Source organism: Homo sapiens, chromosome 17, assembly GCF_000001405.40.
Source record: "Homo sapiens chromosome 17, GRCh38.p14 Primary Assembly".
Taxonomy (NCBI): Eukaryota; Metazoa; Chordata; class Mammalia; order Primates; family Hominidae; genus Homo; species Homo sapiens.
Genome location: NC_000017.11, coordinates 62,442,478 through 62,458,657, shown reverse-complemented (window position 1 = coordinate 62,458,657; position 16,180 = coordinate 62,442,478). Strand labels below are relative to the sequence as shown.

Below are 16,180 nucleotides of genomic sequence, written 5' to 3'. Positions count from 1 at the left end.
AATCAACTTCTGATCTAAATTCAGTTTCTCAAGTAGCTTCCCTTCCTGGGGAGATCCCCTCAGCTTGTCAGTTACGTTTCAGATTACAGATCAATAATCTTGCTTTAGGAGCACGATTAGTGGGGTGGGGAAAAATAAAGAAAAGCAAAATAATCTTGCTGTATAATCCAGACCCTTGTGAGCGGGGCTGACCTCACAGCTTTAACAGTTCCTAAATGAACTGAGAAGAACCCAGACCCTGCACACGAGGGTTGATTGGAAGCCGGCAATCATTCTCACTCATTTCTCAGTACCTAATGCACTTGGGTAGTACTCATTAAAGTGTGCTAGGGCTGGGTGTGGTGGCTCAGGCCTGTAATCCAAGCACTTTGGGAGGCCAAGGCAGGAGGATCACTTGAGGCCAGGGGTTTGAGACCAGCATGGCCAGCATGGCCAAACCCTGTCTCTACAAAAAATACAAAAAAATTAGCCAAGTGTGGTAGCGCATGCCTGTAATCCCAGCTACTAGGGAGGCTGAGGCACGAGAATTGCTTGAACCCAGGAGGTTGAGGCTGCAGTGAGCCGAGATTGCACCACTGCACTCCAGCCTGGGTGACAGAGCGAGACTCTGTCTGAAAAAAAAAAAATGTGCTTGAGGCAGATACATTCATTACGAGAGTGAGCAATGGTACCAAGCTTAAGATTGATGATGCAGCGTTCCCCACACTGGGTGGGTGGAGAATCCACCATGAGCCTCAGGCCTTTGCACTGGCTGTTTCTCCCACAGAGAAGATGTTCCATGAGAGACGTGACCTTCTCCAGGAGGCCTTCCTTGTCCCCACTCCCAACCTCAGAGTGTGCCTTTTCCCTGATCCCTGCCACCTCTCTATTTTCCCTAGCTTGCTTGGTTCTTCCTGGCACATGCCCACGTGTTAGAGGATTTATGGGTTTATTGTTGGAATCTCCCCGTCCAAATTTGACAGCTCCAGGAAAGGTGTGACTGATGCGTTCACTCCTGTTTCCAGACCTAGTGCTCCAAGTCTTTGGCCCCAAAGGCATCCAGCTGGAACTTAAGATATTGTTTTGTTTTCATTGTATTTATCTTTAAAATACATTTTTATTTTTATTTATTTATTCTTAAATAGAGATGGGGCCTCACTATGTTGCCCAGGCTTGCCTCAAACTCCTCAAAGGGTTTAAGCCATCCTGGGTTCAAGTGATCCTCACACCTTGGCCCCCCAAAGTGTTAGGATTACAGGGGTTAGCCACTGCACATGGCCCACAAATACTTTCAATTCATGGCAACCAGTACTTGTTTTACTTTTATAGCAGTGATTTTAAAAAAATCCCTTAAAAATAAATTTAAGGCCGGGCACAGTGGCTCACGCTTGTAATCCCAGCACTTTGGGAGGCTGAGGTGGGCAGATCACGAGATCAAGAGATTGAGACCATCCTGGCCAACATGGTGAAACCCCGTCTCTACTAAAAATACAAAAAATTAGCCAGGCGTGGTGGCACGCACCTGTAGTCCCAGCTACCCAGGAGGCCGAGGCAGGAGAATCACTTGAACTGGGAGGCGGAGGTTGCAGTGAGCTGAGATCGTGCTACTGCACTCCAGCCTGGGTGACAGAGAAAGACTCCATCTCAAAAAATAATAATAAAAACAAATAAACACATTTAAGTAAAAATATAAATTTTTAAAAAATTTTTTTGTTTTTTGAGATAGAGTCTCACTCTGTCTGTCACTCAGGCTGGAGTGCAGTGGCACAATCTCACTGCAACCTCCGCCTCCTGGGTTCAAGCGATTCTCCTGCCTCAGCCTCCTCAGTAGCTGGGACTACAGGCAAGCACCACCCCCCCCCAGCTGATTTTTGTATTTTTTTTTTTTCTGTAGTAGAGATGGGGTTTCACTATGTTGGCCAAGCTGGTCTGGGCTCAGGTGATATGCCTGCTTTGGCCTCCAAAGTGCTGGGATTACAGGTGTGAGCCACTGCGCCTGGTCAAAAATATACATAATGTAAAAAGATTCAATAATGGTCTACTCGGATATCAATATTTGGGAAGATGAAATAAACCAGCTGAAGTCTAGGAAATCATGCTCTTACGGATGCCTTTTTGGGGATTCTGCCTGCCATTGTGGGAACTGCCTGCCTAGACACACACACATGCACATGCTGCACACCCATTTTACAGAGACATCAAACCTCAGGAGCTTGGTTACAGCTGCCTCCCACAAGTGCACTAAGGAGCAGAGAAGTGGTCCTTAAAGAGGCTGCAGGAGTGAGAGCAACCACACACCTCCCAGGGTGGGGTCCAGGAGGCGCCCTGTGCCCTTCTACTGTTGTTTTTTGTTTAAGCCACCTTGAGCTGTTGATATTTGCAACCTTGTATGATTTTTTTTAAGTTAAATACAAGCTGTGTATCCGGGGTGTCTGTGCAGTGGTGGGGGGCAGCGGGCAGGGTAGGAAGAAGCTATTCGGGCATTCAGTCCCCACTTACTGGGCACTGACCATGGGCCGCGGGCTTTGGTAGTCTGCTGTGTTTAGAATACAATGGTCCCCCAATAAACTCATTATTTATTTATTTATGTATGTATGTATTTGAGATGGAGTCTCACTCTTGTCACTCAGGCTGGAATGCAATGGCTTGATCTCGGCTCACTGTAACCTCCACCTTCCAGGTTGAAGCTATTCTCCTGCCTCAGTCTCCCGAGTAGCTGGCATTACAGATGTGCACCACTACGCCCAGCTAATTTTTGTATTTTCGGTAGAGACGGGGTTTCACCATGTTGTCCAGGCTGGTCTTGAACTCCTGACCTCAGGTGATCTGCCTGCTTTGGACCCCCAAAGTACTGGGATTACAGGCGTGACCCACCGTGCCTGGCCTTTTTTATTTTTTATTTTTTGAGGCAGAGTTTTGCTCTTGTCACTCAGGCTGGAGTGCAATAGCAGGATCTCAGCTCATTGCAACCTCCGCCTCCCGGGTTCAAGTGATTCTCTTGCCCCAGCTTCCCAAGTAGCTGGGATTACAGGCACTCACCACCATGCCTGGGTAATTTTCAGTAGAGACAGGGTTTCACCATGTTGGCCAGGCTGGTCTTGAATTCCTGACCTCAAGGGATCCACCTGTCTTGGCCTCCAAAGGGATTACAGGCATGAGCCACTGCACCCTGTCAGAAACTCATAATTTAATGAGCTCGATTGAATGTTGGCCTTAATCGTCCACAAAATATTGAGGGGTAATGAGAAGCAAGGCTGAAGAGGGTGACGGGGGCTTGTCAGTAGCAGGGCTCTTCAGGGCCCTCGCCATTCTGCTCACCCTTAGAGGGTTTCTCAAGCGTGCCACTGCTGATAAATGTTCCTCCCTCCCTCCCTTCTTTCCTTCTTCCCTTTCTCTCTCTCTTTTTTTTTTTTTTTTTTTTTTTGAAGGAGTCTCACTCTGTCACCCAGGCTGAAGTGCAGTGGCGTGATCTCGGCTCACTGAAACCTCAGCCTCCTGGGTTCAAGCTATTCTCCTGCCTCGGCTCCCCCGGTAGCTGGGATTACAGGCATGGGTCACCACACCCGGCTACTTTTCTTTTTCTTTCTTACCTTTCCTTCGTTCTCTCTCCCTCTCTCCTTCCTTCTTTCCTTTCTATCTCTCTCTCTTTTCTTTTCTTTTTTGAGACGGAGTCTTGCTGTGTCACCCAGCAGTGGTGTGATCACAGCTCACTGAAGCCTTGAACTTCTGGGCTCAAGCGATCCTCTCACCTCAGCCACCTGAGTAGCTAGGACTACACGCAGGCACCGCCACGCCTGGCTAATTTTTTATTTTTTTGTATGAACAGGATGCTGCTATGTTACCCAGGCTGGTCTTGAACTCCTGGACTCAAGCGATCCTCCCATCTTGGCCTCCCAAAGTGCTGGGATTACAGGTGTGAGCCACCACACCTGGCTATAACATTAAATTTTAATGGCAAAATCCAAATTCAGAGAATGGAAGTAGAGAATGAATGAATGAAGGCAGTGTGAGGCTCATCTGTGGGTAAAGATGCCAAGCTTGAGGCTGGAGTCAAGGCTACCATGTCTCAGGGTCCCCAGTGGGGTATTAAATCGGACTGTGGTGATTTGTCCTGAAACCTGGTCATGGAGTGTGTTTCACTGGCTACAGAGACAATGTCCAACCTTGAGCCAAGACACTTATTTAAATAAAATGAGGCAGTCATGATGCAATGTTTCAGTGTTTTCACCTGGGAAATTCACCATGAGCACTTCTTCTACCTCTTAACCAGGGTTCCCAAATCACAACCTGTAGACCAAAGTAGGAAGCACACACAAATCTGCAACGCATCAACGCAGCCAGGCTCTGAAAATAGCAGCTGCAGCCACAAACCAAAGAACAGGCCTTTGTGAACAGACTGAAAGAAACTGCTTGTCCTGAGCTCATCTTTTAAGCCACAGAGAGAACTCCTTACTCCTACTAAAGTATGTCTTTAAGCAAAGATAGGAATCAATTACATCCAAGTAGGATGTCTTAGCACGTTAGATTTTCCCTTTCTCACTAAGTTTCCAAGTCCTAATTTTCCTACCAGAGCCCAAGAGAATATGAACTTATATGAAAAGAGGTGGCTGACCCATTGTACATAGGTTTGATAGCATTAACAGAGGCCAGGCTCTGCATGAATCCTGCAAGACCAGGAGATGAATCCCTTTCACAGTGCAAAACCCACTTTCAGGGTGATCGCTGCCCTCAGGAACATGGTTTCACTCCAATAGCTCCAGTGCATCTGTCTCAAACTGTCTCTCATTTTTCAAACAACATTGAATTTATCTCTCACCCTAATTAACACGACTTAGAAAGGTAAATCAGTTTCAGAAACACTTCTGTTAGATTCACACTGAAACCACACAACTTCCTGAGCAGCTTCACACCTGGAGCCACCTTCCAGCCCCGCATAGCACCTTTCTTTTTTTTTTTTTTTTTGAGATGGAGTCTTGCTCTGTCACCCAGGCTGGTGTGCAATCTCTGCTCACTGCAATCTCCGCCTCCTGGGTTCAAGCAATTCTCCTGCCTCAGCCTCCCCAGTAGCTGGGATTACAGGCTCCCACCACCATGCCTGGCTAAATTTTTTTATTTTTTATTTTTAGTAGAGATGGGTTCTGCCATGTTGGCCAGGCTGGTCTCAAACTCCTGACCTCAGGTGATCCGCCAGCCACGGCCTCCCAAAGTGCTGGGATTACAAGCATGAGCCACCACGCCCGACCCACCATTCTTGCATTAAGCATATTAAGAGATACCATTCAGAGCCAGACTCATAGTTGAGACAGTATTTATTTTTTAAGTGGCACTGAGGTCATATACTTTAATCCCTCCCAACAAATGTAACAGTCCTCTGCCCATCATTAGCGATTCTGAGGATGAAACGTTATGCAAAGTCCCTTGCAGAGTCAAATTTGGCCTGAGAGATAAAAAGTCGAGCTTAGCAGATGGCAGAGAATAAAAGGGAGCAGGGGCAGGAGAAGGCTCGTCTTTTTAATCTAAGCCCAAAGCCCAAACCAGGTGCCAGAAAGATAAAATAAAAACTGTGCCTATAGTGTTGAAATGCTTTAGGGATGCTGAAGGACAGTCTTTAGAGAATCATTTAAATTAATGTATCTATTCTTCATTTCAAAAGATAAATGAAATACCATCCCAGTGATTCAGTTTTTTCCAGTTTTAAGTAAATACAGTAATGGAAAAGATGGGAGCTCTCTTCCTCCCTTCATTCTTTGCTCCCACCTCTGAAAACCCATTAAGTGGGGCCAGTCGCAGTGGCTCATCCCAGCACTTTGGGAGGCCGAGGTGGGAGGATTGCTTGAGCTCAGGAGTTCAAGACCAGCCTGGGACACATGATGAAACCCTGTCTCTACAAAAAATACAAAAATTAGGCTTGGTGGCACATGCCTGTAGTCCCATCTACTTGGGAGGCTGGGGTGGGAGAATCACCTGAGCCTGGGAGGTCGAGGCTGCAGTGAGCAGTGATCGTGCTGCTGCATTCCAGCCTGGGTGAGCCTGTCTCAAAAACAACAACAAATAACCCCACAAGAAACTCAAATACCCATGGGTCCATATTGAGACAAGTAAATCAGATATGAGAAAGCTTTTCTGTACAAAATACCAACCAATCAGTGTAGAAGGAATGGAAGCATCAGAAACCACTATTTGGCAACTATCATAGTTATTCAGCCAAAAAGCAGCAATAGATACTGAAACTAGGGGGTAGAAGTTTGATGAGGAACAGGATATTTAGTCTCAAAGCACTTCCCTACAAAATACTTATTAACTTTACAGTGGCAGAACCCGGCAGACAACACAACTAAGTGACATCACCAATAATGGGGAAATTCATAATCATGTGTCGCCTGATACGATCCTATGGGAGGAACACAGCATTACCTCTGAATATTCCTGCCCAAAATGCAGAGCCTGAACCAAATCATGAAGAAACACCAACAAACCCAATTCGAGTTTACACAATAGCCTCTTACCTTAAAATGCAAAGGTGCAAAAGCAAGCCTAACCCGTAGACTGAAGGAGACTGAGACACAACTAATAAATTCAATACAATTATTTATTTTTTACATTTTTTTTGTTTTTTATTTTGAGACGGAGTCTCACTGTTGCCCAGGCTGGAGTGCAATGGCGCGATCTCGGCTCACCGCAACCTCCGCCTCCCAGGTTCAAATGATTCTCTAGAGCCACCCTCCCAAATAGCTGGGATTACAGGCGCCCACCACCATGCCCAGCTAATTTTTTTTTTTTTTTTTTTTGAGACGGAGTTTCACTCTTGTTGCCCAGGCTGGAGTGCAATGGTGCCATCTCGGCTCACTGCAACCTCCGCCTCCCAGATTCAAGTGATTCTCCTGCCTCAGCCTTCCAAGTGGATGGGGTTACAGGCATGCGCCATCACACCTGGCTATTTTGTATTTTTAGTAGAGACGGGGTTTCTCCATGTTGGTCAGGCTGGTCTCCAACTCCCGACCTCAGGTGATCCACCTACCTTGGTCTCTCAAAGTGCTGGGATTACAGGCGTGAGCCACCGTGCCAGGTCTGTATTGTTAGCAGTGATGGGGTTTCATTAAGTTGGCCAGGCTGGTCTCGAACTCCCGACCTCAAATGATCCGCCCACCTTGGCCTCCCAAAGTGCTGGGATTACAGGTGTGAGCCACCGCACCCGGCCTATTTTTAACATTTTTTAAAAAGTCAGGGTCTTGGCCGGGCGTGGTGGCTCACGCCTGTAATCCCAGCACTTTGGGAGGCCAAGGCGGGCAGATCACCTGAGGTCGGGAGTTCGAGATCAGCCTGACCAACATGGAGAAACTCTGTCTCTACTAAAAATACAAAAAATTAGCCGGGAATGGTGGCACATGCCTGTAATTCCAGCTACTTGGGAGGCTGAGGCAGGAGAATCATTTAAACTTGGGAGGCAGAGGTTGCGGTGAGCTGAAATTGTGCCATTGTACTCCAGCCTGGGCAACAAGAGCGAAGCTCTGTCTCAAAAAAAAAAAAAAAAAAAAGTCAGGGTCTTGCTACATTACCCAGCCTGGTCTTGAACTCCTGCCTTGGGCTCCCAAAATGCTAGGATTACAGGAGCCACTGTGCCCAGCCAACATAATCATGTTTTTGTGTGACAAAGCTATTATTGGGACTACTGGGTAAACATGAATGGTTAGTGGCTGGCATTAATGTTTCCATGTATTCCTACTTGTGATGGATACATTTGGTGATGTTGGGACATCAGAAAAAAATGGACTATTCTTGCAGTATTCCTATATAAATTTATTATTCCAAAATTTAGAAAAACATCAACAAGGTGAAAGCTAGGCATCTTTGTTTCTGAGATGCAGTTTCGCTCTTGTCACCCAGGCTGGAGTGCAATGGCACCATCTCGGCTCACTGCAACCTCTGCCTCCCAGGTTCAAGCAATTCTACTTCAGCCTCCTGAGTAGCTGGGATTACAGGCGCCCACAGCCATGCCGGGCTGATTTTTTATTTTTTAGTGGAGACGGGGTTTCACTATGTTAGCCAGGCTGGACTGGAACTCCTGACCTCAAGTGATCTGCCCACCTCGGCCTCCCAAAGTGCTGGGATTATAGGCATGAGCCGCCACGCCTGGTCGAAAAGTCCTTACTTTCTAAAATTAAGGATATATCCTATAACTGCATGGATCAAGAGAGAAATATGTAAAAATAACTGAAAAAATGCAGAACATAAAAAAAAAGGATCTAACAATTAGCTAGGCATGATGGTGCCCACCTGCAGTCCTAGCTACTCAGGAGGCTGAGGCGGAGGGATGGCTTGAGCCAGAAGTTTGAGGTGATAATGAGCTATCATTGCACCACTGAACTCCAGCCTGGGCAACAAAGTGAGAGCCCTGTCTCCTTAAAAAAAAAAAAAAAAAAAAAAAAAAAAAGGCATCTAACACTGATAATGATCACATTCAGAAGTGAAGTGATGATGTGGTTAAAATTAAGAAGTTCCCTCAATTCCTTTTGTGTCAAACACTTAAGGGTGCATTAAAAAAGATAATTTTGCAAAAAGTGAAAATTCTTTTCTTTTTTTTTTTTGAGACGGAGTCTTCCTCTGTTGCCCAGGCTGGAATGCAGTGACATGATCTTGGCTCACTGCAACCTCCACCTCCCAGGTTCAAACGATTCTCCTGCCTCAGCCTCCCGAGTAGCTGGGACTACAGGGGACTACAGGTGTGTGCCACCATGCCCAGCTAATTTTTTTGGTATTTTTAGTGGAGACGAGGTTTCACCGTGTTGGCCAGGATGGTCTCGATCTCCTGACCTCGTGATCCGCCTGCCTCAGCCTCCCAAAGTGTTGGGATTACAGGCATGAGCTGCCGCACCCGGCCAAATTCTTTTAATTCTTTAGACACAGGTTAGAGGGGGAACAATGCTTAAAATTCCATGGAACTAAGATTTTTTTTTTATTTTTATTTTTTTGAGACAGAGTCTTGCTTTGTTGCCCAGGCTGGAGTGCAGTGGCACAATCTCAGCTCACTGCAACCTCTGCCTCCTGGGTTCAAGCAATTCTCCTGCCTCAGTCTCCCAAGTAGCTGGATTACAGGCACCCACCAACACACTCAGCTAATTTTTTTATCTTTAGTAGAGACGGGGTTTCACCATGTTGGCCACGCTGGTCTCCAACTCCTGACCTCAGCTGATCCGCCCGCCTTGGCCTCCCAAAGTGCTGGGATTACAGGTGTGAGCCACCGTGCCTGGCGGAACTAAGATTAAAGCGAAGACCACGATCAATTACTTAACAAGAACACCACATTTTGATGCTCTCTGTAGGGTCATTTTTTTTTGTCAGGAAAATATCTGATCTGATTCTTCCCAGCTTGCTTCCCCTACAACTTAATAAGCCCTTCACTAACCTCTGTATGTATTAACTGCAATTGCCTAGCCCGGCATTTACATTCTCAAAAGATTTAACGCAATTACAGTCAAAAAACACTTGTCATATGTAACACTTTTTCACATGGAAATAAATTGGTGGTTTAAGGTTTACAATTCCTTTGAATAAAATTTCAGTTATTAGTTACAAAATGCTAAGACAGATTGAGATCTCAAAGAAAGAACTTGAGAAAATTATGTTTTAAAGGACTTCACAAATATGAAGCATAATTGTTAGAATCCTGATACAAAGTAACTTTTCCTAGGTTTAAGGTTCAAGTCTGAATTCTTGAATTGTCCAACATCAACGAGACCTCATTTATATTTTTTATTTTTATTATTACTTTCAGATACAGGGTCTCTCACTATTTTGCCCAGGTTGGACTGCTGGGCTCAATGGATCCTCCCCGCCTCAGCCTCCTGAGTGGCTGGGATTACAGGCATGCACCACGCCCAGTGCTACAATTTTTTTTTTAAAAAAGCCCGGAAACACAATGGGCTTGCATCGTGTTGGCAGCAGGTGCCTCTCAGCTGGTGCTGGACAGAAGGGGCTTGCAGTATTTGCACTGAATCCAAACCCGGTACATTGTCAGTTGCTTTCCTCGGTTCACCTGCAGTCGGCGATCCACCAGGTTCTGAACTTTTTCCAGTCCAGCAGTGGTGAAAAGCGTGTCCAGTTCCTCTAGTGTGGAAAATAAAAGATGTTTATGCATTTTTCCCCTCAAGAAAAGGCATTTTTATCTACTAAGTCCTTGTTAAAAGGGGCTCTGGGAAGTTGCTGTCATGTTTTTTACATGGCCATTTGGTTATAAATGCAGTGGTGGCTTGGTAACAGTAAGTTCATGTTTAGGTAGGGGAAGCCACTGCGTATGGGCCGCGGTTTTTTCTTTTTTAAAAACCTTTGGTTTATATTTGGCCTTTAGGCTCTATGAACACCTTAAAATTTATGCAAAAATATCTATGTATGTCAAAGCAATTGTTTTAGGAAAGTGGTTTCATCATCTTAACCAAAGGCTCAAAGAAGGTGACCCTGAAAAGGGCCCAGGAACGGAGAATTTGGAAGGCCCAGGTGAAGGATGAAGCCTGTGGATAGGCCAGTTGCAGAGGAGAGCAGTTCCCAGCACCCCTAGAACCCAGGGTTCACCCTGACCCGGGCACACCAAAGCACAACCCCGTGTAGAGGGTGAAACAGGCTGGACTGGAGATGAGCCTTGCAGAGTGGGCAGGCTTCCCATTTTGGACAGTGGCAGACAGGGAGAGCAGAGCAGGACTGAAGGCATGGACAAGCCAGGGCTGCCTGGGGGCCCCAGTGCCTGGCTGCCATGGGTAGCCTAGCCCAGGGTGGAAGAGGGTGTGAGCAGCAGGGAACCGCAGGAAACAGCCTGCCTAAAAGGCAGGAGGGACCAGATAGTTTTCCTTCTGAACGTGCCTTGAAGACCATCTCATCTGGTACTGGGGACTTTTAGTGTAAAAAGATGGGTGTTTCATACCTTGTGTGAAGAAGTAAACTCTGGTTCCATCACCTCTCACGTAGAAATTTCCAGATAGACACTGACCTGCAGAGTGATGTGTTAAAAATCAGAGACACTTAAAAGCACTTCTTTGACTCGCATTGCTAAGGAATGTTAACTGGGAGGTCAGTTTGTTGGGTGGAGAGCACTCCTGCCTCAGTGCTTCGGGAAGAGCAGCTCAACAGGAGTAAGTCACAATGTCAGAAAACATGACGTTCCTAAGCACCCCACTCCAAAACTCTAGAATTGTTTGATGAAAACAACTTGTTCACTCTCCCAACCCCATTAAATTAACAGCACAAACTTTTTATTTATTTATTTATTTTGAGACGGAGTTTCGCTCTTGTTGCCTAGGCTGGGTGCAATGGCGTGACCTCGGATCACTGCAACCTCTGCCTCCCAGGTTCAAGTGATTCTCCTGCCTCAGCCTCCCAAGTAGCTGGGATTACAGGTTCCCACCACCATGCCCAGCTAATTTTTTGTATTTTTAGTAGAGTCAGGGTTTCACCATGTTGGCCAGGCTGGTCTCAAACTCCTCACCTCAGGTGATCCACCCACCGTGGCCTCCCAAAGTGCTGGGATTAAAGGCATGAGCCACCGTGCCTGGCCTATTTTTATTTTTTTTAATTAAGCAATATAGCTGAGTTTAAGGAAACTTGAGACAATCATTACCATTTTGGTGGTGACTGTCCTTTGCATGTCTCTTCACATGTCTACAGAATCATAAATACAACTCAGATATTGTTTTGATCATGAACATGCTTTCCCTTCTGCTGCTAACCTCCCTGACCTTACCTCAGTTTACCGGCCTGGCACATACTTCTAGACCTTCCTGAATGCCCAAATCATCACACAAGTGTGTACTTATTTCCCTGCAGATACTGGTATAGGGGGATGGAGTTTAAAATACTCCCTTGCACATTGCTCTCCTCTCACTGAATACAGAACAGAAATCCCTCCAAGTTCAGTGGTACGGGGTCCACCTCAGGTGACAAGCACAACATCTCCCTATCCAGAGGCATTCACTTTGTTTACAAAGTTTTGCTCCTGCATGTATTATGTGCTAGTTCTTGACTATATTCAAAAAAAATGACTGGATTGAACAATAATTGGGTGCTTAAAAAAAGGCTGTAAGCCGAGCGCAGTGGCTCACACCTGTAATCCCAGGACTTTGGGAGGCTGAGGTGGGTGGATCACCTAAGGTCAGGAGTTCGAGACCAGCCTGACCAACATGGTGAAACCCTGTCTCTACTAAAAATACAAAAAAATTAGCCAGGCGTGGTGGCACATGCCTGTAGTCTCGGCTATTCGGGAGGCTGAGGCAGGAGAATTGCTTGAACCCAAGAGACAGAGGTTGCAGTGAGCCGAGATCGTGCCATTGCACTCCAGCCTGGGAGACAGAGCGAGACTCCGTCTCAAAAAAAAAAAGGCTGTAACACTGGGCACAGTGGCTCACACCTGTAATCCCAGCATTTTGGGAGGCCAAGGCGGGTGGACCCAGGAGGCAGAGGTTGCAGTGAGCCGAGATCACGCCATTGCACTCCAGCCTGGGCAATAACGGCAAAACTCCATCTCAAAAAAAAAGGCTGTAACAATTTCTTTTTCTACCAGTAATGAAGGAATGCACCTCTTTCTTTGAATTGGCCAGCAATAGGAAGTACTAACTCGTTATTTTTATTTCCTTGAAGTGTTGTTTACTGGCCATTTAGATATGTTCTTCTGTGAACTGACTAAATACTCCTCGCCTGTTTTTTGGGTGGGTCACTGATCTTTTCCTTATCAGTTTCATGAGAGCTCCTTGAAGAGCAAAGATATTAAGTCTTTATCTATTATATGCACTGAAAATATTCCTTCTTACTCCGTCATTTGCCTTTTACATTTTTAATGGCATCTTTTGTCATGCCACATTTAAAATTATTTATGTCTTTCAAATATCTTTTTTTTTTTTTCTTGAGACAGTTTCACTCGTTGCCCAGGCTGGAGTGCAATGGTGTGATCTTGGCTCACTGCAACCTCTGCCTCCTGGGTTCAAGCGATTCTCCTGCCTCAGCCTCCCGAGTAGCTGGGATTACAGGCATGCGCCACCATGCCCAGCTAATTTGTATTTTTAGTAGAGACAGGGTTTCTCCATGTTGGTCAGGCTGGTCTTGAACTCTTGAACTCAGGCGATCCACCCACCTCGGCCTCCCAAAGTGTTGGAATTACAGGCATGAGCCACTGCGCCCGGCTGTCTTTCAAATGTCTTTCTAATAAAAGCTCTTCTAAAGGTAGCTGTCTTGCTTAAAAAGACCTCAATATCTAGATTATACAAGCCTCTTCAGTTTTCTTAAAAAATATACTACTCTGTCACATATTAAATGGCTTTATATAAGGAGTTCTAATTCTAGAGTTTCTATTCTGATGGCAGCACCATTTTTTGATTATAGTGGCCAAATACCTTTTTTTTTTTTTAATTATACTTTAAGTTCTGGGGTACATGTGCAGAACGTGCAGGTTTATTACATATGTATACATGTGCCATGGAGGTTTGCTGCACCCATCAACCCGTCATCTACATTAGGTATTTCTGCTAATGCTATCCCTCTCCCAGCCCCCTCACCCCCAGACAGACCCCAGTGTGTGATGCCCCCCGCCCCGTGTCCATGTGTTCTCATTGTTCAACTCCCACTTATGAGTGAGAAAAAGTGGTGTTTGGTTTTCTGTTCTTGTGTTAGTTTGCTGAGAATGATGATTTCCAGCTTCATCCATGTCCCTGCAAAGGACATGATCTCTAGTGGTTAGGATTCAGCACTTTCAAAATACCTTTTTTAAACCGAAGCTGAGCCATGTCATAGCGGCCGTAATCTCGCAGAAGCATCATCCCGCCAGGTTTCAGAAGCCTGCTCAGCCTGTTGATAGCCTTCTGCATCCTGTGGAGCAGCAGGGAATGACGGTCAATCAGGTCTCCTTAAAGACGGGGTTCTCTTTCCCTGTAGCATATCCCAAAAAGCCAGTGGACTTCCTCAACTGACACACCAAGTCTGAGATCTAAGCTCCTCTACTCTTGCTTCAGTTAGAACTGAAGGACATTAGCTGCCTGCTCACAGCTGTGGCCTCGATCCACTGCCTTCAGCCTGAAGGGGCCCGAGGACAGCCCGCTTCTGCCGTAAGAAAGTTCCCTGCTCCTGGCCGGGTGCGGTGGCTCATGCTTGTAATACCAGCACTTTGGGAGGCTGAGGCAGGTGGATCACATGAGGTCAGGAGTTTGAGACCAGCCTGGCCAAAATGGTTAAACCCCATCTCTACTAAAAATACAAAAAGTAGCCAGGTGTGGTGGCGTGTGCCTGTAATCCCAGACACTCAGGAGGCTGAGGCAGGAGAATTTCTGGAACCTGGGAGGTGGAGGTTGCAGTGAGCCAAGATTGCACCACTGCCCTCCGGCCTGGGCCGCAGAGTAACTGAGACTTTGTCTCCAAAAAACAAACAAACAAACAAAAGTTCTCTGCTCTCTATCTGGCTCACTTCCCCACTGTCCTAGATAGCCATCTTTGCCCTGTGCGCCTGTGGCTGAGCTGAATCCTGAGCATCCAGTGGGTTCTGCTAGGTGACTTATCTGCCTGCATCATTAGACCTGAGCTCTTTCAATGTAGGGGCTGTATCTTTCTGTTTGTTAAATGAAGACTTGTCCTCAAGAACTTACAATACAATCAGTATGCAAATGAGTATAACAGACAGAGGGTTTTACACTTAGGTCTGTGTTTTCCATATGCAGTGTTCTTCAAAAGTCTTGGTGCAGGTTGAAGCTTTCATAACTTCAGAAGTCTAAATGCTACAAACTTCACCAAAAAAATTTCAAAGTCTATTTAAATTTTGCATAATGAATGTTTCCCTCTTAAAAAAAACCAAAAAACAAAAAAACGGCCAAGGCAGGCAGATCACCTGAGGTCAGGAGTTCGAGACCAGCCTGGCCAACATGGTGAAACCCTGTCTCTACTAAAAATACAAAAAAATTAGCCAGGGATGGTGGCAGGCACCTGTAATCCTAGCTACTTGGGAGGCTGAGGCAGGAGAATCGCTTGAACCTGGGAGGCGGAGATTGCAGTGAGCCAAGACCATAGCACTGCACTCCAGCCTGGGCAACAAGAGTGAAACTCCATCTCAGAAAACAAACAAACAAACAAAAAACAGCTGGGGTCCTGCTATGCTATGTTGCCTCGGCTGGACTCTTGGGCTCAAGTGATCCTCCTGCCTCAGTCTCTAGGTAGCTGGGACTAAAAGTGTGTGCCACTGTGTCTGGCTTGAATTTTAAATTTTAATAATTTGTTTTAGTCCATGTCAATTTTTAAAAAGTTTGTAGCATTGAAACTTCTAAGGTCATAGGTTTTTTTTGAGACAGGGTCTCACTCTGTCACCCAGGCTGCAGTGCAGTGGTGTGATCGTAGCTCACTTCACTGCAGCCTCAAACTCCTGGGCTTAAGCCATACTCCTGCCTCAGCCTTCTGAGTAGCTGGGACTACAGATATGCACCTGGCTAAATTTTTTTATTTTTATTTTTAGTAGAGATAACGGTCCTGCTTTGTTGCCCAAGCTGGTCTTGAGCTCCTGGCTTCAAGCACTCCTCCCACCTCAGCCTCCCAAAGTGGTGGGATTATAGGCGTGAGCCACTGTGCCTGGTCAACCTCTGCAATTATTAAAGTTTAAAACCATGGTAGGCCTTTTGGGTTATCCTGCATATGCCTTTATTTCACACTCATCCTCTCAGGTTGGATGACTTCAGTACCCTTCTAGAGGAAGTGTGGCCTTCTAGAGGAAGGTCAATCACCCAAAGCTCCTATCCTGTGCAGCCAGTGAGGGGTCCTTGGACTCTGGGAGATAAACCAGGATCTCAATCACTGGTCCCTGCAGTCTCTAGTCATGTAATCTGGCTTCCTAACACCAGCTTACCTTGACCTTTAACACTAACTTACTTAATCATCCTTTGCAGGACTCTGATGACACAGAATGAGGAGATGTTTGAAGTCTCTAATCTCATGATTTCATGGGTATAGTTTACCCTAACATGTGCCAACCCCCAGCCTGTCCAGACTCACTGCACTCTGGCAGTGCCAAGGGCTTCCATGGAATTAGTCAATGGTATCTGAATCTCTGAGCCACCATCTGACTCTGCTTCCTTGAGAAGGTAGTTTTGGTCAGGTTGCAGTGGCTCATGCCTGTAATCCCAGCACTTTGGGATGCCGAGGTGGGTGGATAACTTGAGGTAAGGAGTTCAAGACCAGCCTGGCCAACATA

The 16,180-nt window shown here is 46.0% G+C and overlaps 1 protein-coding gene across 1 annotated transcript in view; it reads right to left on the bottom strand.

Annotated features, from left to right (window-relative positions):
* Positions 1 to 5,272: 5,272 nt before the first annotated feature.
* Positions 5,273 to 16,180, bottom strand: part of METTL2A (methyltransferase 2A, tRNA N3-cytidine) — a 29,489-nt gene continuing 18,581 nt past the window's right edge. Inside the window, exons 7-9 of the mRNA NM_181725.4 lie at positions 13,715 to 13,821; positions 10,892 to 10,957; positions 5,273 to 10,083 (exon numbers count right to left, since the gene is read on the bottom strand). Coding sequence (NP_859076.3) covers positions 9,929 to 10,083; positions 10,892 to 10,957; positions 13,715 to 13,821 — 328 coding nt within the window. The 3' untranslated portion in view covers positions 5,273 to 9,928. The remainder of the gene's footprint in view (positions 10,084 to 10,891; positions 10,958 to 13,714; positions 13,822 to 16,180) is intronic.